Source organism: Homo sapiens, chromosome 16 (genome assembly GCF_000001405.40).
Source record: "Homo sapiens chromosome 16, GRCh38.p14 Primary Assembly".
Lineage (NCBI taxonomy): Eukaryota > Metazoa > Chordata > Mammalia > Primates > Hominidae > Homo > Homo sapiens.
Window position 1 is genome coordinate 21,725,982 of NC_000016.10, and position 24,021 is coordinate 21,750,002.

General features: G+C 43.9%; 1 protein-coding gene across 5 annotated transcripts in view; it reads left to right on the plus strand.

Moving 5' to 3' along the window:
* The window catches only part of OTOA (otoancorin), a 96,762-nt gene that overhangs the window by 62,014 nt on the left and 10,727 nt on the right, over positions 1-24,021 (plus strand). For 4 of the 5 annotated variants that reach the window (NM_144672.4, NM_001161683.2, NM_170664.3 and 1 more), the window contains 6 exons: positions 542-677; positions 2,260-2,450; positions 4,856-4,949; positions 10,280-10,409; positions 14,740-14,927; positions 18,900-19,055. In NM_144672.4, the coding sequence (NP_653273.3) occupies positions 542-677; positions 2,260-2,450; positions 4,856-4,949; positions 10,280-10,409; positions 14,740-14,927; positions 18,900-19,055 (895 nt within the window). Of the gene's footprint in view, positions 1-541; positions 678-2,259; positions 2,451-4,855; positions 4,950-10,279; positions 10,410-14,739; positions 14,928-18,899; positions 19,056-22,889; positions 22,980-24,021 lie in introns of all 5 variants that reach the window. The other variant, XR_002957775.1, reaches the window with a different exon arrangement.

Here is a 24,021-nt window from a genome sequence, read left to right on the forward strand (position 1 = left end):
AAGAGTGGAAGGCAGAGTTCTGGACTGGAGATGACAGAATTTCTCTTTCCACTCTTTTTCTTATCTTTCTTTCTCACTTTCTAGTTATTCTCTCTCCTCGTTGTCTCTTTTTTCATCTACTTTTTCCTTTCTTTTTCATCTCCCCTCAACCAGTCCATCAATCAACATGTCTATTTACGAGAACCCATTCTCTGATCAATGCTCTGGGGCATAGAAGAGGAGCATGATGGGAAGTTTGTTCCCACCCACAGAAGAGGGTCATGATGGGAAGTTTGTTCCCACCCATAGAAGAGAGCATGATGGGAAGTTTGTTGCCCATTCATGGAAGAGGAGCATGATGGGAAGTTTGTTCCCACCCATAGAAGAGGAGCATGATGGGTGGGAAGCTTGCTACCTGCTGCAGGGAGCCAAAGCATCACTGGGAAGAACAAACATTTAAAGAATGTCTTTGGGATGAGCTCTTGGGCAGGCGGACCCTGATTTTAGGGGCCAACAGGAGCAGCCATGTGTTCCTCCTCTTGTTCTCCCCATCTCTCTCCAGGGCCCGCTACCTGGCTTCTGTCCCAGCCTCCCAGTGTGTGCCCTTTCTGATCAGCCTGGGGAAGAGCTGGTTGGACTCCTTGGTTTTAGATTCCCACAAAAAGACTTCAGTCCTCAGGAAAGTGCAGCAGTGCCTGGTAAGAAAACTCTTCCTGGGTGTCCCCTCCCTCTGGGTATCTGTGGCCATCTTGGGGAGCCCTGTGAGGGATCTGGCTAGGATCTTGAGCCTGCTGTGATGGCCAGAAGTCTGACTGGTGGGTCTTGAAGCTTACTCTAAAGTTGCTGGTTGGAACAATCTTTTCCATTGGTTCTGGAGACTTCTGCCCCACGGCCCAAAGGAGGGGAGGCTACTCTGGAGGAATGGAAAGAGCACAGTACCCAGAGACTGGGTGCCAGTGATTGGTTATGTGGCTTTGGGTGAATCACCTTTCCTCCCTGAGCCTCAGTCTTCTCATCTGTAAGGTGGGGGGAGTAGCACATCCCCCTTAGAGTTTTTTTTTTTTTTTTTTTTTTGGGACAGAGTCTCACTCTGTCACCCAGGCTGGAGTGCAGTAGCACGATCTCAGCTCACTGCAACCTCTGCCTCCCAGGTTCAACTGATTCTCCTGCCTCAGCCTCCCAAGTAGCTGGGACTACAGGTGTGTACCACTACACCCGGTTATTTTTTGTATTTTTAGTAGAGACAGGGTTTCACCATGTTGGCCAGGATGGTCTCAAACTCCTGACATCAGGTGATCCATCCACCTCGGCCTCCCAAAGTGTTGGGATTACAGACATGAGCCACCATACCTAGTCTCCTCATAGAGTATTGAAAACATGACATGGGCAATGTATTATTTAATGTAAAGGCTCAAAGGCCAGATTGTCTGGGTGTGAATCCTAGCCTTGCCACTAGCTGGCAGTTTCTTTTTCTTTAAAAAATGGATAATAGTAGTACTTACTTCTTACAGTTACTTTGAAGATGACTAGATTGAGACCCACAGATACTCAGGACGGTGCCCGCACATAGGAAACACACAATAAATGTGAACTATTTTTGTCATTTTGTGAAAGTGCAAAAGAGCTTTGAAGGCTTTCAAGTGGCATACAAACTTTGAAGTGCTGTTTTCATTGTTGTGGTGCCAATAGTATAATGGTGGTTGAAGTCTGGAATATTCTCAGAGCAATAACAGTGACAGCAGCGCTCAATTACTGAGTGCTCCTGGTGTGCCAAGCCAGGGTTTTCCAGATTTCTGAGGCCTGCATCCCTGGGGAAGATCAGGTCCTGTTCCATCTCTAGGAATCCATGGCAGGGTAGGCAGTTAAGATCCTGGAATCTTTAAGAAGTTTGGGATCGGAACTTTTTTTTTTTTTTTTTTGAGACAGAGTTTTCCTCTGTCACCCAGGCTGGAGTGCAATGGCATGATCATCTAGGCTCACTGCGACCTCTGCCTCCCGGGTTCAAGCAATTCTTGTGCCTCAGCCTCTCGAGTAGCTGGGACTACAGGCATGTGCCACAATGCCTGGCTAATTTTTGTATTTTTAGTATAGATGGGGTTTCACCATGTTGGCCAGGCTGATTTCGAACTCCTGGCCTCAAATGATCTGTCTGCCTCGGCCTCCCAGAGTGCTGGGATTATAGGCATAAGCCACAGTGCCCACCCCACAGGATGTGTTTCTAATGGCTCACGATCTTATGCTCTGTTGGAACTGCCCATTGGCTCCACTTTTTGGGTTCAGGACGACTCCATTGCTGATGAGTACACTGTGGACATCATGGGGAACCTGCTGTGTCACTTGCCGGCAGCCATCATCGACAGGGGGATCTCCCCCAGGGCTTGGGCGACTGCTCTACACGGCCTCAGAGACTGCCCAGACCTCAACCCTGAGCAAAAGGCTGCAGTGAGGCTCAAGCTCCTGGGACAGTATGGGTGAGGAGCGGCTGGGTTTGGCTTTTGGTGGTGTGGTATGCTCTGTGGAGGGACACTCAACCTTGGCTCTCCTGCCCTGCAAACAGAGTCTCTGGCTTAGGATGAGATAAAATTCTTATGCTTATTTTGGAAATGTGACCTTTCTTCTTTTGGCTTCAGATTTTTTTTTTTTTTCTTAGACGGAGTCTCGCTCTGTGGCCAGGCTGGAGTACAGTGGCACGACCTTGGCTCACTGCAACTTCTGACTCCCTGGTTCAAGCGATTCTCCTGCCTCAGCCTCCCGAGTAGCTGGGATTACAGGCATGTGCCACCACGCCCAGCTATTTTTTGCATTTTTAGTAGAGACTGGGTTTCACCATGTTGGCCAGGATGGTCTTGATCTCCTGACCTCGTAATCCACCCACCTCGGCCTCCCAAAGTTCTGGGATTACAGGCGTGAGTCACCGCGCCTGGCCTTGGCTTCAGATTTGCTGTAAAGTGGAATCAATAGTAGCTGCCCTAAAAATCTCAAAGAGTTGTTTCTTACACAGCTTGGCATATGAAGGGGAAATTTGGAAAAGGTGGCCCTTTACAGATGCAAGGTAGTGGTATTATTATTAGTTTAAAGACTATTTTTTTTTTAAATGGGGTCTCGCTCTGTCACCCAGGCTGGAGTGCTGTGGCACAGTAATGGCTCACTGCAGCCTCAACCTCCCTGGGCTCAGGTGATCCTCCCACCTGAGCCTCCCAAGTAGCTGGGACCACAGGTGCACATCACTGTACCCAGCTAATTTTTGTATTTTTTTTTAAGGGATGGAATTTCACCATGTTGCCTAGGTGGGTCTTGAACTCCTGGGCTCAAGGGATTCACCCACCTAAGCCTCCCACAGTGTTGGGATTATAGGTATGGGCCACCATGCCTGACCCTAGAGACTATTTTTAATACTAGTTTTAGGTTCTCAGAAAAATGGAGAAGATAGAGATTTCCCATATCTCTCTGACCCCGTACACGCATAAGCTCCCCATGATCAATATCCCCCACCAAAGTTGTACATTTGTTAGAACTGATGAACCTATGTTGACATTATCGTCATTGGATTCTCATTATCATCCATAGTCCATATTTTACATTAGGATTCACTCTTGGTGCTTTACATTCTATGGGTTCAGACAAGTATATAATAACATGTATTCACCATTATAGTATCATACGGAGTATTTTCACTGCCCTAAAAATCCTTCCGGGCTTTGCCTGTTCATTCCTCTCTCACTCCTAATTCCTGGCAACCACTGATACTTTTGCCTTTTCTAGAATATCATATATTTGGAATCATACAGTAGATAGCCTTTTCAGATAGACTTCTTTCACTTAGTAATATGCACTTAAGTTTTCTCCAGGTCTTTTTTTGGCTTGATAGCTCATTTCTTTTTAGTGCTGAATCATATTTCATTGTCTTAATGAACCACAGTTTATTTAGCCATTCACCTACAGAAGGACATTTGGTTGCTTCCAAGTTTTGGCAATTATGGATAAAGCTGCTATCAACATCCATATACAGGTTTTCATGTAGACGTAAGTTTTCAACTCCTTTGTGTAAATACCAAAGAGTGTGTTTGCTGGGTTATATGGCAAAAACATGTTTGCTTTTGTAAGAAACCAACAAAATGTCTTCCAAAGTGGCTGTATGATTTTGCATTCCCACCAGCTGTCACTGCTAATTGGGCAGACCTCCTTTAGAGATGTCGCCAAAGATAGTGTAATGCTCTTCACTGTAGGCATTTATGATCTATACAAGAATAACAGTGGATTCTGGGTCAGTGCCTTTATTTTATCCTGCCAAGTTCAAGAGAAAGGTTTTTTCTTATTCTAAGAGAAGACTGTTATGGTAAAGTAAAAGGAAGAAATATATAATTACTCTTCTATTGAGGAGGGAGAAGAAGGACACACTGTGATGTAAATGGCAGAAATTCAATAATTTAATTCAAACTAAAGAGAACGGGAATGTATTGAATTCAGGAATGGAATGTAACGGGAAACTCCACTGGTGGTCTTCAGGCATGGCTGAATCCCGTGTCTCAAATGATATCTTCAGGAATATGTTCCTCCCATCCCTCAGCTCTGTGTTCCTTGGTGTGGTCTTTACTTTTTCCACTTGGTAATATGAATGTCCTCCAATATCCTCCCCTACTGCCAGAGATACCAGAGAAAGGAGAGCTTCTCTGATAGTTCCATCAAAACTCCCAGGGATGACTCTGATTGGTCAGCCTGCATCACATGCCAATTTTCTTGGTCAAGGAAGTGGGACCATGTGATTGACATGAGTATAAGACAATCTATTCCTGAAAGAAAAGGGTGCTGGGGGAAAAGGCAACAGATGTCCACCACAGCATGTTTTTTCACTTTACTGGTTATTATCTCTTTTTAGACTCCCTCAGCACTGGACAGCCGAGACCACGAAGGACTTGGGACCCTTTCTAGTACTTTTCTCAGGAGATGAATTAAGCTCTATAGCCACAAAGGTAATGTTGTGCTCCATCTTAAGAAGGCTGAAGGAGTTTGAAGGGGAGAGAAAGTGTGGTCAGTTATACAGCATTGGGTTTACTGCTGTCTATGGTTCTGGAAGCTTCCTCCCTGCCTCCAAGGGCTAAGATGTTTCCAGCTCCATTCCAGGATGTGCAAGGTTCTGGAAAAGGGAGTGAGTCCACAGCTAAATGAACTCAGGCCCTTTTGTGTGGCCCCCCAGGCAGATGTGTGCAGACAGATATTACTTAGCTACCACTCTGCTATTAGTGTGCATCTCACACGCACGTCTGTTCTGGCTCTCACACTGGCTGGTGCCCTATGCACATGCACATGTATGTCCAGTGTATGCAATCACATGTGCAAGCACATTTAATCCAATAACAAGTCTTTATTGATCATTACATTTGGGCATGACGCTTTTCTAGGAGTAAGGCTCCAGAAGTTAGACAGTCTAGACCAAGGGGCATGCAAAATAAGCATGAATTAGTCATTTGTGCTGCATAACAAAGCCACACAATCTCAAGGGCATAGAACAATTCGCATATGTTCCTTGCTGCCTGATTTGTGGGTCGCTGGGGCAGCCCTGCTCTAGAACTTGTTTTTCTTACCATGAAGGTATGAAACTACCAAAAAAGGGAAGGGATAAGTACAATTCTCCTTAAGTCCTAGGTTGGAAGTTGGCACGCTGTCACTTCTGCCACACTCCAATGGCCAAAGTAAGTTACATGACCAAGACCAACTTTAATGGGGCAGGAAGGAGTCTCCTTCCATGGAGGTGGAGGGCAGGAAAGGAGTGAATGTTTGCTGAATGACAATCAGATCCCCCACAAAGCACATCCACACACTCTCATACCTGCACTTGCAGGCACAAGGTGCACATGGTCACACATGCTCAGCAGGGCCTGAACACACACAACTTCACCTAGGATCACACGCAGCACATTCTGAAGTCCAGTCACAGTAAAATCATATTCTGGATGTCTGAATATATAGTTATAAGCAGTTGATGCACACATGTTTATTTTTATTTTATTATTTTATTTTATTTTGCGATGGAGTCTCCCTCTGTTGCCCAGGCTGGAGTGTAGTGATGCAATCTCGGCTCACTGCAACCTCTGCTTCCTGGGTTCAAGTGATTCTCCTGCCTCAGCCTCCCGAGTAGCTGGGATTACAGGCCCCTGCCACTATGCCCAGCTAATTTTTATATTTTTAGTAGATATGGGGCTTCACCATGTTGGCCAGCCTGGTCTTGAACTCCTGACCTCAAGTGATCTGCCCGCCTCGGCCTCCCAAGTGCTGGGATTACAGGCGTGAGCCACCATGCCCGGCCCTGATGCACAAATGTTATATATCCATCTATTTTTTTTCCTTCCTTGTTTTTCTTATGTTTAGATGTTTATTATTATTTTTATTTTTCCATAAGGTATTGGGGTACAGGTGGTGTTTGGTTACATGAGTAAGTTCTTTAGTGGTGATTTGTGAGATTTTGGTGCACCCATCACCTGAACAGTATACACTGCAACATATTTGTAGTCTTTTATCCCTTGGCCCCTCCCACTCTTCCATCCAAGTCCCCAAAGCCCATTGTATCATTCTTATGCCTTTGGGTCCTCATAGTTTAGCTCCCACATATCAGTGAGAACATCCATATATCTATCTAATCTTAAAAAAATCAACTTCTGAAATTGAAAAAGTCTTGCATCAACACTGTGAAATCTCAAAAACACAGTGTAGAGTTAAAAAAAAACCCAGATTGCAAAAGAATATCTATAGTAGGATACAAAGTAAATAAATAAATAGTAGCTGAATTAATTTAAAGCAAATGTAAGCCAAGTTTATATGTAAGAGAAGTGTAAAAGTGAATGCCAAATTCAGAGTGACAGTTACTTCTGGGGAAGGAGGAAGGCAAAGAGTGAAGGAGGGACTTATTATTTATATTGTGATGTTTTATTTCTTAAGTTGGGTTGTGAGGACATGGGTGTTTTGTTGTATTATTCTGTATACTCTTTTTTTAAATACTGGAAATGTTTAATAAAGCAAGTAATACATGCTCCTGGTTAACAAATCCCAATCGCACCAAAGGTAATAGGATGAGAAGCAAGTCTCCCTCCCACCCCAGACTTCTAGTTCCCTAGCCTCCCTCTTCAGAGGCAATTGCTGTCCCCAATCTCTTCTGCATCCTTTCAGAAATATCCTGAATATCTATATAACAAGTTTTATATAGGTATAAAAATACCTATATAACAAGCCTCGCCAACATGGCGAAACCCTGTCTCTACTAAAAACACAAGAGCATATACACACTCTTCTTTAGAAAATACAAAATGGAAAATGCCATTCACTCCGCTATGCATATTGCTTTCTAAAAGTTAACTGTCTTAGAGTGGTTGCCTTCAGCCTCAGCTGCACATTAGAATCACCTGGGGAGATTCCAAGAGGGACCAATCCATGGTATCCAGCCCAGCCCGACTGAGTCAGAATCTTTAGGGGCTGGCTCTGGGTGTCCCAGGTGACTCTTAGGTACAGCCAGGGTTGAAGAACTGCTGGCTTAGACTGTGACTCTAATTCTGAAGATGAGACTAGAAAGGGGAGCTACATAGGCTGAGAGGCTTGCTCTCTGGGTGAGCCGGGACCCAGTGAGGCATAGCTGTTTGTAGAGCCTGATGGATTATCTGGGCCCATGGGCAGGCCTTCTAATAAAATCCCAAGTCTTGACAAAGTGTATTCGTTCTAGATGAGAAATGGCACTTTCTCCAAGGCAACCCAAAGTCCCCTAAGTCCCCTCATTGCTAGTCTCCACCCAGGATGTTGAGACAACCCTTCTTCACCTCCTTTTCATGACAAATGTTGTGTTAGGCAATTCTTTTTTTCTTTCTCTTTTTTGAGATGGAGTCTAGCTGTGTTGCCCAGGCCGGAATGCAGTGGCACGATTTCGGCTCACTGCAACCTCCACCTCCTGGGTTCAAGTGATTCTCCTGCCTCAGCCTCCTGAGTAGCAGGGATTATAGGCATACACCACCATGCCGAGTGAATTTTTGTATTTTTTGTAGAAACGGGGTTTCACCGTGTTGGCCAGGCTGGTCTTGAACCCTTGACCTCAGGTGATCTGCCTGCTTGGGCCTCCCAAGTGCTAGGATTACAGGTGTGAGCCACCGCACCTGACCTGTGTTAGGCAATTCTTGCATTGCTATAAAGAAATACCTGAGACTGGGTAATTTATAAAGAAAGGAGGTTTACATGGAATACTATGTGGCCATAAAAAAGAATGAGATCGTGTTCTTTGCAGGGACATGGATGGAGCTGGAGGCCATCATCCTTAGCAAACTAATGCAGAAACAGAAAACCAAATACCGCATGTTCTTACTTATAAGTGGGAGCTAAATGATGAGAACACGTTGTCACATAGAATGGAACAGCAGATACTGGGGCCTATTGGAGAGTGAAAGGTGGGAGGAGGGAGAAGATCAGCAAAAATAACTAATGGGTACTAGGCTTAATACCTGGGTGATTAAATAATTTGTACAACAAACCTCCATGACACAAGCTTACCTATATAACAAACCTGCCATGTACCCCTGAACTTAAAATAAAAGTTAAATTAAAAAAAATAAAATAAAAAGGGCCAGGTGCAGTGGCTCATGCCTGCAATCCCAGCAGTTTGGGAGGCCGAGGCGGGCAGATCACGAGGTCAGGAGATTGAGACCGTCCTGGCTAAGAGGGTGAAACCCCGTCTCTACTAAAAAATACAAAAAATTAGCCGGGCGTGGTGGTGGGCACATGTAGTCCCAGCTACTCGGGAGGCTGAGGTAGGAGAACGGCGTGAACCCAGGGGGCAGAGCTTGCAGTGAGCCGAGATCGTGCCCTGCACTCCAGCCTGGGTGATAGAGCGAGACTCCGTCTAAACAAACAAACAAACAAACACTGCCAGGCACAGTGGCTCACATCTGTAATCCCAGCACTTTGGGAGGCCGAGGTGGGCGAATCACTTGAGGCCAGGAGTTTGAGACCAGCCAGGCCAAGATAGTGAAACCTTGTCTACAATAAAAATAAAAAAAAATTAGCCTGGCTTGGTGCTGCATGCATGTAATCCCAGCTACTCAGGAGGCTCAGGCACGAGAATTACTTGAGCCTGGGAGGTGGAGGTTGCAGTGAGTGGAGATCACACCACTGTATTCCAGCTTGAGCAACAGAACAAGACTCTGAAAAAAAAAAAAAAAAAAAGAGACAAGAAAAGAGGATTGATTGGCTCATGGCTCTGCCGACTGTACAGGAAGCATGATGCTGGCATCTGCCCAGCTTCTGGGAAGGCCTCAGGAAACTTACAATCATGGCGGAAGGCGAAGGGGGAGCAGACACATCTTACTTGGCCGACACAGGAGCAAGAGCGTGATGGGGGAGGTGCTACATGCATTTAAACAACAAGATCTCGAGAGAACGCACGCACTATTGTGAGGACAGTACCAAGGGGATTGTATTTAACCATTCATGAGAAATCTGCCCCCATGATCCAATCACCTCTCACTGGGCCCCACCTCCAACACTGGGGATTACATTTCAATAAGATTTGGGTGGGGTACACATCCAAACTATGTCAAATATAAAGTTTAGTAAAAACTTAGAAATAGCACCAAACCAAAAAAGGGGTAGGTACACATACATTTTTTTTGTTTTTTTCTGAGACAGGGTTGTACTCCCATCACCCAGGCTGGAGTGCAGTGGCATGCTCTCGACTCACTACAACCTCAGCCTCCTGGGCTCTGGTGATCCTTCTGTCTCAGCCTCCTAAGTAGCTGGGATGACAGGCTCATGCCACCACGACTGACTAATTTTTGTATTTTTAGTAGAGATGGGGTTTCACCATGTTGGCCAGGCCAGTCTTGAGCTCCTGACCTCAAGTGATTTGCCTGCCTCGACCTCCCAAAATGCTGGGATTACAGGTATGAGCCACCACACCTCGCCTAACCTACATTTTTTGTCGATATTACCAGATTGCTCTGCTAATAGTGCACAGTTTGACAGTCCCACGGAAAAATGAATGTGCCCAGCATTAAGTATTAGCACTTCATTTTATTTTTGACAATCTGATGGGTGAAAAGTGATTTACTTATGTTTTTTAGACTTTATTGGATTTTTATTGAAGTTGAGTATCATTTTATAGGATTCTTTATAGAGACCACATTAGTGGGACTAGGGAATAGATTTATATGAGAAGTTGCTATAACAAAGAATGAAGGCAGTAAGTAGTGTGACAGTTTCAACTCTAATTTCAATCTGTATTTAAGGGGTTTTAATTATTATTCCTCTTCTTTCATCTTCTTTCACACAGTTTCCTGAGATCCTTCTGCAAGCAGCTTCCAAGATGGCCAGGACCCTGCCCACTAAAGAATTCCTCTGGGCTGTCTTTCAGTCTGTTCGGAACAGCAGTGATAAGATCCCCAGCTATGACCCTATGCCTGGTGAGTGTTTTCAGGGTATCTGAGCCATTGCTGACATAGTAATTAATGTTTTGGGCAGGGTCCCTGACATCAAGAGGCCTCCTTATGCAGGGAACTGGATGAAATGTCTGCAAAGCAATAGAATGACAAAATCTATAAGCAAAAGAATTACACTTTTGGTTCAGGTGCGGTTGCTCAAGCCTGTAATCCTAGCACTTTGTGAGGTTGAGGCAGGCAGATCACTTGAGGTCAGGAGTTCGAGACCAGCCTGGCCAACATGGCGAAACCCTGTCTCTACTAGAAACACAAAAATTAGCCGGGTGTGGTGGTGCATACCTGTAGTCTCAGCTACTCAGGAGGCTGAGACACGAGGATTGCTTGAACCCAGGAGGTGAAGGTTGCAGTGAGCTGAGATGGCACCACTGCACTCCAGCCTGGGTGACAGCGAGACTCTGTCTCAAAAAAAAAAGAGTTACACTTTTGTAAAGTGACCTGGAATCATGTCCCATACTCCATACCCAGGCTAGTAGGTTTAATGCGTGAATATGTGTAACAAACATTTCAGTAGGATTGACTTAGAGGACCAACATGGATTAGTGGTTTAACATAGCAGTGACAGGGCCGGGCTGGCTACATTTCACTCCTGAGTCTGCCACTTACTGGCTGTGTGGCTTTGGGTAAGCTCTTTAACCTCTGTGTGCCTCAGTTTTCATCCTTTATCAAATGGGGATAATGAAAGTCTCTACCTCACTGGGTTATTGTGAGAATTAATGGGTTTAAACCCAGAAACATGTTTACCGGAATGCCTGGCATGTAGCAGATCTTTAATAAGTATTATATATTTTTAAAATTTGATTTTTTTTATTTTTTGAGATGGAGTCTTGCTGGAGTGTCACCCAGGCTGGAGTATAGTGGCATGATCTCGGCCCACTGCAACCTCCACCTCCCAGATTACAGCAACTCTCCTGCCTCAGCCTCCTGACTAGCTGGGATTATAGGCATGTGCCACCACGCCTGGCTAAGTTTTGTATTATTAGTAAAGACGGGGTTTCACAATGTTGGCCAGGCTGGTCTTGAACGCTGGCCTCAGGTGATCCACCTGCCTTGGCCTCCCGAAATACTGGGATTACAGGCGTGAGCCACTGCCCCCGGCCTAAAATTTGATTTTATAGAGGCAGGGCCTCGCTCTACCACCCAGGCTGGAGTGCAGCAATCATGGTTCACTACAGCCTCGACCTCCTGGACTCAAGGGATCCTCCCACCTCAGCTTCACAAGTAGTTGGGACTACAGGCATGAACCACCACATCTGGATAATTTTTTATTTTTTTGTAGAGATAGGGTCTTACTGTGTTGCCCAGGCTGATCTTGAACTCTGAGCCTCAAGTGATCCTCCTGCCTTGGTCTCCCATAGTGCTGGGATTATAGATGTGAGCTACCATGCCTGTCCAAGTGTTAGATATTTTATTATTATTACCATGCACCTACTAAGTGCAGACTGGGGCCAGGCATGAGGAGACAAAGTTAATCACCCCCAGTGATAGTAGTTGACAGTCAGTGCTTGCTTTCATCCACCCAACAAATATTCGTTAAGCACCAATTTTGTAAATAAAGAGCTTACTTTCAAATGGAGGGTAGCAAGACAATAAATTTCCATACATAAGTAAAATATATGGTATATTGTATGAAAAGTGCCAAGAAGGAAAATAAAGCAAGGGAATGCACCACGAGTGTTGAGAGGGGACTGTCATGTGAAAAGAGAATCATGAAGGAACATCTTATTGAGAAGGTGACATTTGAATGAAGACCCAAGGGAGAGTGGGCCATGTGGATATTTTCAATTAGAGTCTTCCAGGCAGAGAGTGCAACAGGACCACTTCCATGAGTGGGAGGTAAGGGCCAGTGTGTTTGGAGGGGAGTGAGAGACAAGGCCAGCCATGTAGTGACTGTTAAAGGAAACCCTAATGACTTTGGCTTTTACTCTGGGTGGAGGCATCGTGTGACATCGAGCAAAGAAGTATCACAATTGGATTTGTGTCTACCTTGGGTGATTATCCCTCCATGCATTATCTTGTTCTCCCGTTTTTTTTTTTTCTTGGTGAATGTGGGGTTTTATTGGGTAATGGAGGTGGCTCTCGGTGGGATGGATGGGGAGCTAGAAAGGGGATGGAGTGGGAAGATGATCTTCCCCTGGAGTTTGGCTGTCCTGTGACCAATCTCCTCTCCAACTGTCCCCAGCCAAACTCTTCTTGGCCTTCAGATGCTCCTTTCTCTGCCATGCTGCTCTTCTGCTCCTCTTCTCTTCTGTTCATCTGCTCATCTGCTTGTATGCTCATGGAGCCTGGGGTTTGGGGTTTATATGGGTACAGGATAGTGGGATGTGGCAGGCCAAAACCTAACATTTGGGCGTGAAAACAGGAATGCCTATTCCCATTTAGGGCTGCAGATTTCCAGGCTTGGGTGTTCTCTTGTTTTTTAAATGAAGGAAACTGGGGCTTAGGAGACTAAGGGACTTGTCTAAAGTCACAGAGTTAGTAAATGGCAGTTCTTGGATTTGTACCCAAAGTTGGTGGTGACCACCACTGGCTCCCACTGCCCTCAAGGTCTAGCAGTCCATGTCATCATATTGCAGAGCTCTTACTGTGTGCATGTGGTACACAAAATAAGGCTTTCCATGCTCAGGGGAAGGAAGCTCTGGTATCAGTGCATAGTTTGAGTGTTCTTTAGTTGGTTCTGGGTATTAATTGCTGCTGTGCTTTAGTGATTGATGGATTAGCAGAATTACCGCTTGGTTTTATATTAATTTGTGTGTGTGTGTTCACTCACTCCACAGATATTTGCTGAACACCTACGATGTACCAGGCTCTATTCTAAGCCCTGGACAGACACAGTGATAAGACCAAGTTCCTGATATACTAGTCAACCATTCTGCCCTCTCTAGTTCTGTGCTATCACTGATGTTGTTTTCACTAGAGGGTGGGCTGGGGGTTGGCCTAGGGAGGGATGGGTCTTTAGTCCTCTCCAAGTGGCTTATGATAAAGATGTTTGAGGACCACAACTGGCATCTTTGATCTGGTCTACTTTTGCCTCGTGATTGGAATGCAGTGAATTTCCATTGAAGGTGCAATGAGAAGAGAGAGGCCATGGGGCTCGGGAAATACCCTGGCCTTGGGTGGGGTTGGTGCATCTGTCAGCATCAGTGGTGGTCTGCGGCTAAGATAAGAAATCCAGGGTTGCTCTTAAGGATCCTAGAGTTTTCTCCCAGGTTGGGCACATCAGATCCAGCAAAGACAATATCTCACTTGCATGTTGGTTGGTAGCTGGTTTGAGTAGGTAAGGTTCACATTATTCAAAGACCGAAATGGATGTTTTTCCTGTTGCCAAGAGAAATGCAATAGGCTCATTTCTCTTTTCTCTTGGGATGGGAAAGCCACAACCCCCACTATGATTTTCATGGACAGCAACTCATCTTCCTGGTTTTTATTTTTTATTTTATTTTGACACAGGGTCTCACCGTTACCCAGGCTGGAGAATAGGTGTGATCACGGCTCACTGCAATCTTGACCTCCCAGGCTCAGGTGATCCTCCCACCTCAGCCTGCTGGGTAGCTGGGACTACAGGCATGTGCCACCATGCCTAGCTAATATTTTGTAGTTTTTTTTTTTTTAGAGGTGAGGTCTTACCATGCTGCCCAGGCTGGTCTTGAATTCCTGGGCTCAAGTGATCCTTCTGCCTTGGCCTCCCAAAGTGCTGGGATTAAAGACATGCGCCACCGCACAGCCCATCTTCCCATTTTTATAGGAAGGCTGCTGCATAATTTTGGAATCTTTATGCTGGGCTGCAAACTCAAAGGCATAGGGGGTAAGATAGGCAACAGAAATTGTGTATCGAGTGCTTACTGTATGCGTGGCACTGTTCTAAGTGCTTTACATATAACACATTTAGTTTTCACAACCATCCTATGAGGCGATTTTATTTCCATTTTATAGACAAGAAAACTGAAATACAGAGAGGTTAAATAGCCTTGGATTTGAATCGAAAGTCAGGACTGTTCACCACCAGCTCTTACTGCCCTCAAGGAATTTGTAGTTTAATTGTAATGTTGCACCGCTCCTAGTTTGTGCATGTGGATGTGCAAAAAGCTGGCATTTCCATGACTTTGTTACCCAGTAATTAGCAAGAAATGGCAGAAGTGGGATTCAAACTGGTCCCTGCCTCCTGCTCTCTGCTTTTACTCTGTAGTCCCTTCCATGCATAAATCTGACTGGCAAAGAATGTTACTCATTTCAATACACTAACATTTCCTGAAATTCTCTTTCCTCTTCTCCTTCCCTGCATCTCTCCTTTCTTCAGGTTGCCATGGAGTCGTGGCCCCCTCTTCTGATGACATCTTCAAGTTGGCCGAAGCCAACGCCTGCTGGGCCCTGGAGGACCTGCGGTGCATGGAGGAAGACACATTCATCAGGACCGTGGAACTGCTGGGAGCTGTCCAGGGTTTCAGCCGGCCTCAGCTGATGACCCTGAAGGAGAAAGCAATACAGGTGAAGCCCACCTCAGGGAGGAAACATTAAACAGAGGAAAAAAGAAAAACACCAAAACCAGTTCAGCATTTCTGCACATAGAACCCTCCTCGAGCAGTTTTCCCATACATCATCTTGAAATTTTACTGCATCAGCTCAGTGATATTGTGATCTCCTTATCTGAGAAAGGAGGAAATTTCCAGTTCCTCCCTCTTAGGGCTGTGGCAGAGAATGGGATGAGATGTGTCTTGGCATCTAGCAGATGCTCAGTGAATCAAGTTCTGTGGATGTCCCAGTGCCTCTGACCAAGGCGGTTTGCAGGAATTAGGCTTTATTCCTTCACCTGGAGAGCCCCAGCTGCTGCTCACAGCAGGTTTTCTCAGAATCATTTGCAAATTTGTCTGAAAATATAACAGAAAGGAGTAAAAAGAGGACTGGAAGTAGCTTTCCATCTTTAAAAAGGTCCCTTTGTTGGCTGGGTGCAGTGGCTTATGCCTGTAATCCCAACACTTTGGGAGGCCGAGGCGGGCGGATCACGGGAGGTCAGGAGTTCGAGACCAGGCTGGCCAACATGGTGAAACCCTGTCTCTACTCAAAATGCAAACATTAGCCAGGCGTGGTGTCATGTGCCTGTAGTTCCAGCTACTCAGGAGGCTGAGGCAGGAGAATGGCTTGAACCCGGGAGGTGGAGGTTGCAGTAAGCCAAGATTGCGCCAGTGCACTCTAGCCTAGGCGTCAGAGCTGATACCTTGTCTCAAAAATAAATAAAAATAGGCTGGGTGCAGTGGCTCATGCCTATAATCCCAGCACTTTGGGAGGCGGATCACGAGGTCAAGAGATCGAGACCAGCCTGGCCCACATGGTGAAACCCCATCTCTACAGGTGGCATGCACCTGTAGTTCCAGCTACTCGGGAGGCTGAGGCAGGAGAATTGCTTGAACCCGGGAGGCGGAGGCTGCCATGAGCCGAGATTGCGTCACTACACTCCAGCCTGGTGATAGAGCGAGACTCTGTCTCAAATAAATAAATAAAAGGAAAAGGTCCCTTTGTGGCCTGTTTTAGCTTTTCTTTCTTTTTTTTTTCTTTTTCTTTTAAGACAGAGTCTTGCTCTGTCGTACAGGCTGGAGGGCAGCAGCGCGATCTGTGGTTCACTGCAAACTCTGCCTCCCGGGTTCAAGTGATTCTTGTGTCTCAGCCACCTGAGTAGCTGGGACTACAGGCACAAGCCACCATGCCTGGCTAATAATTGTATTTTAGTAGAGACGGGGTTTGTTTGGCCAGGCTTGTCTCAAACCCCTAGCCTCAAGAGATCTGCTCACCTTGGCCTCCCACAGTGCTGGGATTACAGGCATGAGCCACTGCACCCAGCCCTGTTTTAGCTCTTTACATGGTTGTGGAATATCTAGTTACCCTCAAGGGTTAAACAATTCAATGTCTTAAAATTATAAATATAACTGTATTTATGTATTATATGAGTACTTCAAGTTTATTGTAGAAAAGTCAGAAAATAATAAAGAAGAAAATCAGTGATAATCTTTTACTCACTGTTGATATTTTGATAAGCACTGTTCAGCAGATAAGCACTGTTGATATTTTGGTATATTCACTTGAAGCTTACCAGACTCCAAAACTATGTATATAAAAAATATTATTTTATATATTTCATACATATATCTCATGTTTTACAAAAATGATATTATACTTACCTACTATTCAATAACTTGCTTTCTACACCCAACAGTACAGACTGCATATTTTTTCATATCCAAAATGTACATCTATGTCAGTATTTTATTTATTTATTTATTTTTTGAGATGGAGTTTTGTTCTTGTTGCCCAGGCTGGAGTACAATAGTGTGGTCTTGGCTTACTGCAACTTCTGCCTCCCAGGTTCAAGCAATTCTCCTGCCTCATCCTCCCAAGTAGCTGAGATTACAGGCATCCGCCACCATGCCCGGCTAATTTTTGTATTTTTAGTAGAGATGGGGTTTCACAATGTTGGCCAGGCTGGTCTCGAACTCCTGACCTCAAGTGATCTGTCTGCCTGGCCTCCCAAAGTGTTGGGATTACAGGCGTAAGCCACAGCATCTAGCCTATATCAGTATTTTAAATAGCTTTGTAATACAATTAGCCTTCCATATCAGTGGGTTCCACATCTGCAGATTCAACCAACCTCAGGTAGAATGTATTTAGAAAAAATGATCCAAATAACAATATAACAATAAAAAACAATACACATAAAAATACAGTAGCATTTTTGACATAACATTTTGTACATATTTACATAGCACTTATATTGCATCAGGTATTATAACTAATCTAGAGATGATTTAAAGTATACATGAGGATGTGCATAGATTATATGCAAATACTACACTATTTTATATAAGGGACTTGAATATCCATGGATTTTGGTATCTTTAAGAAGTCCTGGAACCAATCCTTGGTGGAGGTATCCACAGGGGCAACTTCATTTTATTTATGGTTAGTTCTTATTTATTTAGCTAATTGTTAGACTTTCAGGTTGCATTAAAAAAATGCCTCAATGTATGCCTTTATACATATACTGTTGGGTACTTGTCTCATTTACTCAGGCTAAATTCCCAGAGGTGGAATTTCTGGGTCAAAGAATATAAATACTTTAAAAGCTTTTGATACAGATAGCCAAATTGCCCTCTCAAGAGTATGTACCAACTTATATTCTCAACTACAACAAATGAGGGTATCCCTTACCTTGTATCTTTCCAGTATCGTAAATGGTGATAAGTCTTTATACTTCTTGACATGTGATGAATCAACATGGTCTGATTGTTTTTAATGTATATTTCTTTAATTATGACTGAGAATAAAGTTTTCCCCATACATTTAATTTTTCTTTTGTGAATTCCTTGTTGATGTCTTTTGTCTATCTTTTTTTTAAAACAAATATAGTCATGTTTTTATTATTGATTTAAAAGAGAGCTTTATATTAAGATTTACCCTATGTCTTTTTAATTTTTATTTATTTTTTATTAAGGGATAGTTGACAAATACAAATTATATATATTTATGGTGTATACATATATACAATATGATGTTTTGATGTATGTATACATTGGGGAATGGTTAAAGCAAGCTAACATGTCAATCACCTTTCATACTTGTCCGTTGTCAGTTTTTGTTGTGAGAATATTTAACATCTACTCTCTTCACAATTTTCAACCATTCAACACATTATTATCAACTGTGGTCACCATGCTGCACAATAGGTTTCCCTATGTCTGTTTTATTTTTATTTCTTTGAGACAGGGTCTCGCTCTGTCACCCAGGCTGGAGTACAGTGGCACCATCTTGGCTAACTGCAACTTCTGCAAGTGAGTCTTGTGCCTCAGCCACCCAAGTGGCTGGGATTACAGATGTGCGCCACCATGCACAGCTAATTTTTTTTTTTTGTATTTTTAGTAGAGGCAGGGTTTCGTTATGTTGGCCAGGCTGGTCTTGAACTCCTGGCCTCATGTGATCTGCATGCCTTGGCCTCCAAAAATGCTGAGATTCCAAGTGTGAGCCACCGCACCTAGCCTCCTTATGTCTATTTTAGATACTGCCTTTGTCCATTCAGGCTGCTATAACAAAATATCATAGACTGGTAACTTATAAACAGAAATTTATTTCTCACAGTTCTGGGGGGTGAGAAATCAAAAATTGAAGCACTGGCAGATCCAGTATCTGGTAAGGACTTGTTTTTCATAGATGGTGCTTTCTCACTGTGTCCTCACATGGTGGAAAGGGACTAGCTTGTAGCTAGCTCTCTGGGGTCTCTTTTACAAGGGCACTAATCCCACTCATGAGGGCTCCACCCTTATGACCTAATCATCTCCCAAGGCCCAACCTTCCAATACTATCACATTGGAGATTAGGTTTTAACATATGCATTTTAGAGGGGCACAAACATTCAAATCATTGTAAATACCATCACAGTGTTCAGTCTAATCTATTTTCTTTTTTTGCCTAAAGGTTTGGGACATGCCATCTTACTGGAGAGAACACCATATCGTCTCCCTGGGGCGCATTGCTCTGGCTCTTAATGAGAGTGAGCTGGAGCAGCTGGACCTCAGCTCCATAGACACTGTGGCTTCCCTAAGCTGGCAAACAGAATGGACCCCGGGACAGGTGGGTGGATGTTTCTGGGTCTTTTAACTATTCCATATTTATAAGAGCTGCCTTCATATCCTTACTGTTAATTTCCTCATGATGGTCATTTTTGAGTCTGTTTCTGTTGACTGATTTTTCTCTTAGTTATGAGTCATATTTTCTTTTTTTGTTTGCAAGCCTAGCAATTTTGATTGGGTGATGAGCATTGTGGATTTTACATTGTTGAGTATTTGATTTAGTTGTATTTCTTTGAAGAGTATTGGGCTTTGTTCTGTCATACACTTAAGTTACTTTCAAATCAGCTTGATCCTTTTGATGCTTCCTTTTGAGTTTTGTTAGGGTAAAACCAGAGTGACCTTTATTCTGTTGTTAATTTATCATCATTACTGTGACATGATTCCTTTGAGGATGTTACCTAATGCTCCATGTATTTCAAGATCTCTCTACTTTGGCTGGTGAGAATGTGAACTATTTCCAGCTCCATATGAGCTCTGGAAGTTGCTCAGCCTAATCCTTTCTGATTACTGATGACTCTTTTCCTGCCTATGTGGAGTTTCACTCTTTGCATGTGCAAAATAGCAGTCAGTACTAGACATCTCTGCAGCTTTCTGGAACCCTCTGCAGTTTCCTCCTCTCCAATACTTTGCCCAAGTGATAAGTGCCGTGGCCTCTCTGAACTTGGATATCTGTATCCTCAACTCAGCTGGGCCACTGGGCTTGTTTTGGTTCCTCTTCCTGATCCATGTCTTGGAAACTGCTTTTTGGCAGTAAGTGAGGGTAATTTTAAGGCTCATCTTGTTTGTTTTTCTTCTTCTGGGATTATGATTCTGTTGTTCCATATCCGGATGCAGTTGTCTGATGTATTTTGTTAAATTTTCTAGTTGTTTATGGTGGGTGGCCAATTCCTATGTTAATTAATCCTTCATGGGCTAAAGAAGAAGTTCTTCCCAGAATTTTAATTGTTTTGATTGGGAGAGGAGTTTAGGGTGTCTAATCCACTGTACTGCTGGAAAGGGAAGTGTTAGCCCTTCCATGTTATCTTCGTTCTTAGGCAGCTCTCTCAGTGGTCATTTTCAGCACTAGGCTTATATACAACCTAATTAACAAGCCCATAAAAATGTGCCTCTTCTTTATTAGTTTTTGGAAAAGCCTCAGCATTGACTCCACTCATGTAGTTGCCCGCCCCTGAGCAACCACTCTGGTCAGGGGTTGAATATGTTGGTTGGCGAGGCCTGCATCAGGGAGCGGAGTCCATCTTATCAGCATCTCATGACCACATGAGCCGAGTGGGGAAGGATATGTGGTGGGCTGATTAAGGTCCCCGAAAGATGTCCATGTCTGAACCCCTGGAAGCTGTGACTATGTTAACTTATGGAGCAAAAGGGACTTTGAAGATGCGATTAAGGATCTTGAGATGAGGAGGTTATCTTGGATTATTTGGGTGGGCCCAATGTAATCACAAGGGTCCTTTTAAGAAGGAGCAAGGAGGGTCATAGATAGAGAAGGTGACATGATAATGGAAGCAGAGGGACCTAGAAAGAGATCTGAAGGTGCTCTGCTGCTGATTTTGGAGATGGAGGATGGGGCTATGAGCCAAGGAAATGCAGGTGGCCTCTTGAAGCTAGAAAAAGCAAGAAAATGAATTCTTCTTAGAACTCCCAGAAGGAACCCATCCTTCTAGTCCATTTTAGGACATACAGTCTCCAGAACTATAAGAGAATAAACGTGTAGTTTTAAAGCCACTATGTTTGGGGTAATTTGGTAGAGTAGCAATAGGAAGCTAATGGAGGGTAATTTTCCAAAGAAAAAGTGTGGACGCTGAGCAGCCAAAACCAATGAATGTCCCCCTACTCTTTTGAGCTTTTTGTAATCACGGTGGCCATGTTTCATAACTCTGAGTGGCACCATTCAAACAGAATACACTGTGAATGGTGCACCCCTGGAGCTGGGCAACATGCAGATCCTGGCCATGAAGATTACATGAGTTAATACTTGAAAACATTTTGAACAATGTCTGGTACATAGTAGTCAATAAAAATTAGCTGTTTTTATGTTGATATTGACATCATTGCATTGTCATCATCAACATTATCATCATTACAGCCCCTTTCTCTGGGTTAGTCTCCTCCTTTGCAAGATGAGAGGGTTAGCCCCAACAATCTGAGGTTCCTTCCAGTCTGATATTCTATAATCCCATGGTTCTTTGACTCTAAAACTGGTTTTGACTAGTTTGAGAAGTGCCACATCACACTGTGCTATTAAAATCATTCTATTTGCAGGCTCGGAGAAACAGAAAAATACATGCAGAAACTAGGGTATCTCCTTCCCTTCGCACCGATTTTAATTCTCATGGATGGCAGTGAGATTTATCAATATGTTTGAAGAGGATATGAAAACCTAACATTTGCATGTATCATTTGTAGTCAGTTCTTCAACTTTAGCTCCCAATCAACCTTAAATGCAGGTTTCTAGATTAATAGTCAGACCTGACGGAACTACATTAACAGATAGTTCAGCTCAAAAACCAATATAAGGGAAAAAACTATTATAGAAGCCAGAGGGATGAACAGAGAGATTGAAATCTTAAAGCTATTCATTTTTCAACAGTTAATATTGCCTAAAAGTGTTGGTATTAATTGTCTTGGAATCATTACATATACACTGGTCTCGTCACTCAAGGAAATTTATTTTAACTTATCACCTTGCAGGCTGAGCTTGCATTTTCCGGGTTTCAGTGGCAAGGACAATTTAATACCATATCTTCAAAGTAATTTTATTTAAATTGTATTTTTGCACTTTCATTTTAAAGTGAGCGTGCCTGATAGTTGAGGAGCCCAAATTGCTCTGAGTCAACTAGTGAAACCTGATTATGAAGACTTAATAAGAAAAATTTGAAAACTAACTTGAATCTCCATCTTTTCTCCATAGCCAAACACCTTCACTGGCTAAGAGTATGGGCCCTGGAATCAGACTGCCTGGGTTTTGATCCTAGAACCATCATTTTCTTTTCTCTTTCTTCTTCTTCTTTTTTTTTTTTAGAATGAGTTTTGCTCTTGTTGCCCAGGCTGGAGTGTAATCTCCACTCACTGCAACCTCTGCCTCCCGGGTTCAAGCAATTCTCCTGCCTCAGCCTCCTGAGTAACTGGGATTACAGGCATGCATCATCACACCCTGCTTATTTTGTATTTTTAGTAGAGACGGGGTTTCTCCATGTTGGTCAGGCTGGTCTCCAACTCCCGACCTCAGGTGATCTGCCCGCCTTTGTCTCCCAAAGTGCTGGGATTACGGGCAGGAGCTACGGCGCCTGGCCAGAACGATCATTTTCTAGCTGTGTGATCTTGGCCTAGTTACTTAACCTCTCCTTGCCTCAGTTTGCTCATCTGCAAACTAGGGATACTATTAATACTTACCTCATAGTGTTATTTAGGAGGATTAGATGAGATAGTATGTGTAAAGTGGTCAAAGTGGTGCCAGCACACAGTATGCACTCAAGAAATGTTAGCTACAATAAATGTTAGCTATTACCACTTTGGATATACAGTCCCATTAAGTCAAAGACATATAAGTCTAAGCATGGTGTTACTGCATCCCCCGCCCCCATAGTAGCTGTGAGCTTTGTAATCATGGAGGACAACTTGATGAGGACACTGACCAGTCCGATTTTCAGAAACATGAGAAATCTTCCTGAAGCCAGTCTATTACATGAAGGCAGCAAAATGAAGCATGTCAAATAATATATATTGCCCACGACTTTTGTAAGTCACTCACTCAGATGTTGTTTCATTCATTCATTCATTCACTCATTCATTTACTTACTCAAGAAGTACTTATTGAACTCCTACTCTGTGGCAGGCATTATGCTAGGTGCTGGGGACTCATTGGTAAACTACCTGGATATGGTCCTTTTCTTTTGGGAGCCTACTTGGTGATACAGACAAAAAAGTGAGTAATCAAAGTGAAAAATTTGAAAAATCACGATAAGTGATGCGGAAAATGGACAAGGTGCTCATGGGAATAGTGGGAAGAAGGGCTGTTTGAGATGAAAGAGTCCAGAGGGCAGTTTTCTCTGAGTAGGTAGCATTTAAACACACCTGAGGGGTGGGAAGCACCAGCCCATGAAGACGGAATTTCATTGCAACATTTCACAATCTTCCTCAACACTTTCTCTCAACACCTTAATGATCTATATTGTGTGATGGGGATGACTAACATTAAACGGAGATGGGGGTCGGGCATGGTGGCTCATGCCTGTGATCCCAGCACTTTGGGAGGCTGAGGTGGGTAGATCACTTGAGGCCAGGAGTTTGAGACCAGCCTGGCCAAAATGGTGAAACCCTGTCTCTACTAAAAACACAAAAAATTAGTTGGGTGTGGTGGCGGGCGCCTGTAATCCCAGCTACTTGGGAGTCAGAGGCATAAGAATTACTTGAACCCTGGGGGATGGAGGTTGCAGTAAGCCAAGATCATGTCACTGCACTCCAGCCTGGGTGACACAGTGAGACGCTGTCTCAAAAAAAAAAAACAAAAAAAAGCAAAGAGAGTTGGGAAGATTGACTATAGCCTGTGATTTTCGCTTCCACTTAGGGGTCTCTCCTTGGATGTCTCCTCATCTTTGCCTTGTGAGGTCTTATAATCTCTTTTACTTGCTCCCATGAGCACTGAAGGAACCAGACTTTATTTTGTGAGACAGAGTCTCCCTCTGTCACCCAGGCTGGAGTGCAGTGGCACAATCTTGGATCACTGCAACTTCCACCTCCCAGGCTCAAGCAATCCTCCCACCTCAGCCTCCCAAGTAGCTGGGACCACAGGCACGTGCCACCATGCCTGGCTAATTTTTGTATTTTTTGGTAGAGACAAGCTTTCACCATGTCAGCCAGGCTGGTCTCAAACTCCTGACTTTAAGTGATCCTCCTGCTTCGGCCTCCCAAAGTGCTGGGATTACAGGTGTGAGCCACCGTGCCCAGCCCAGACTTTATTTTGTAGC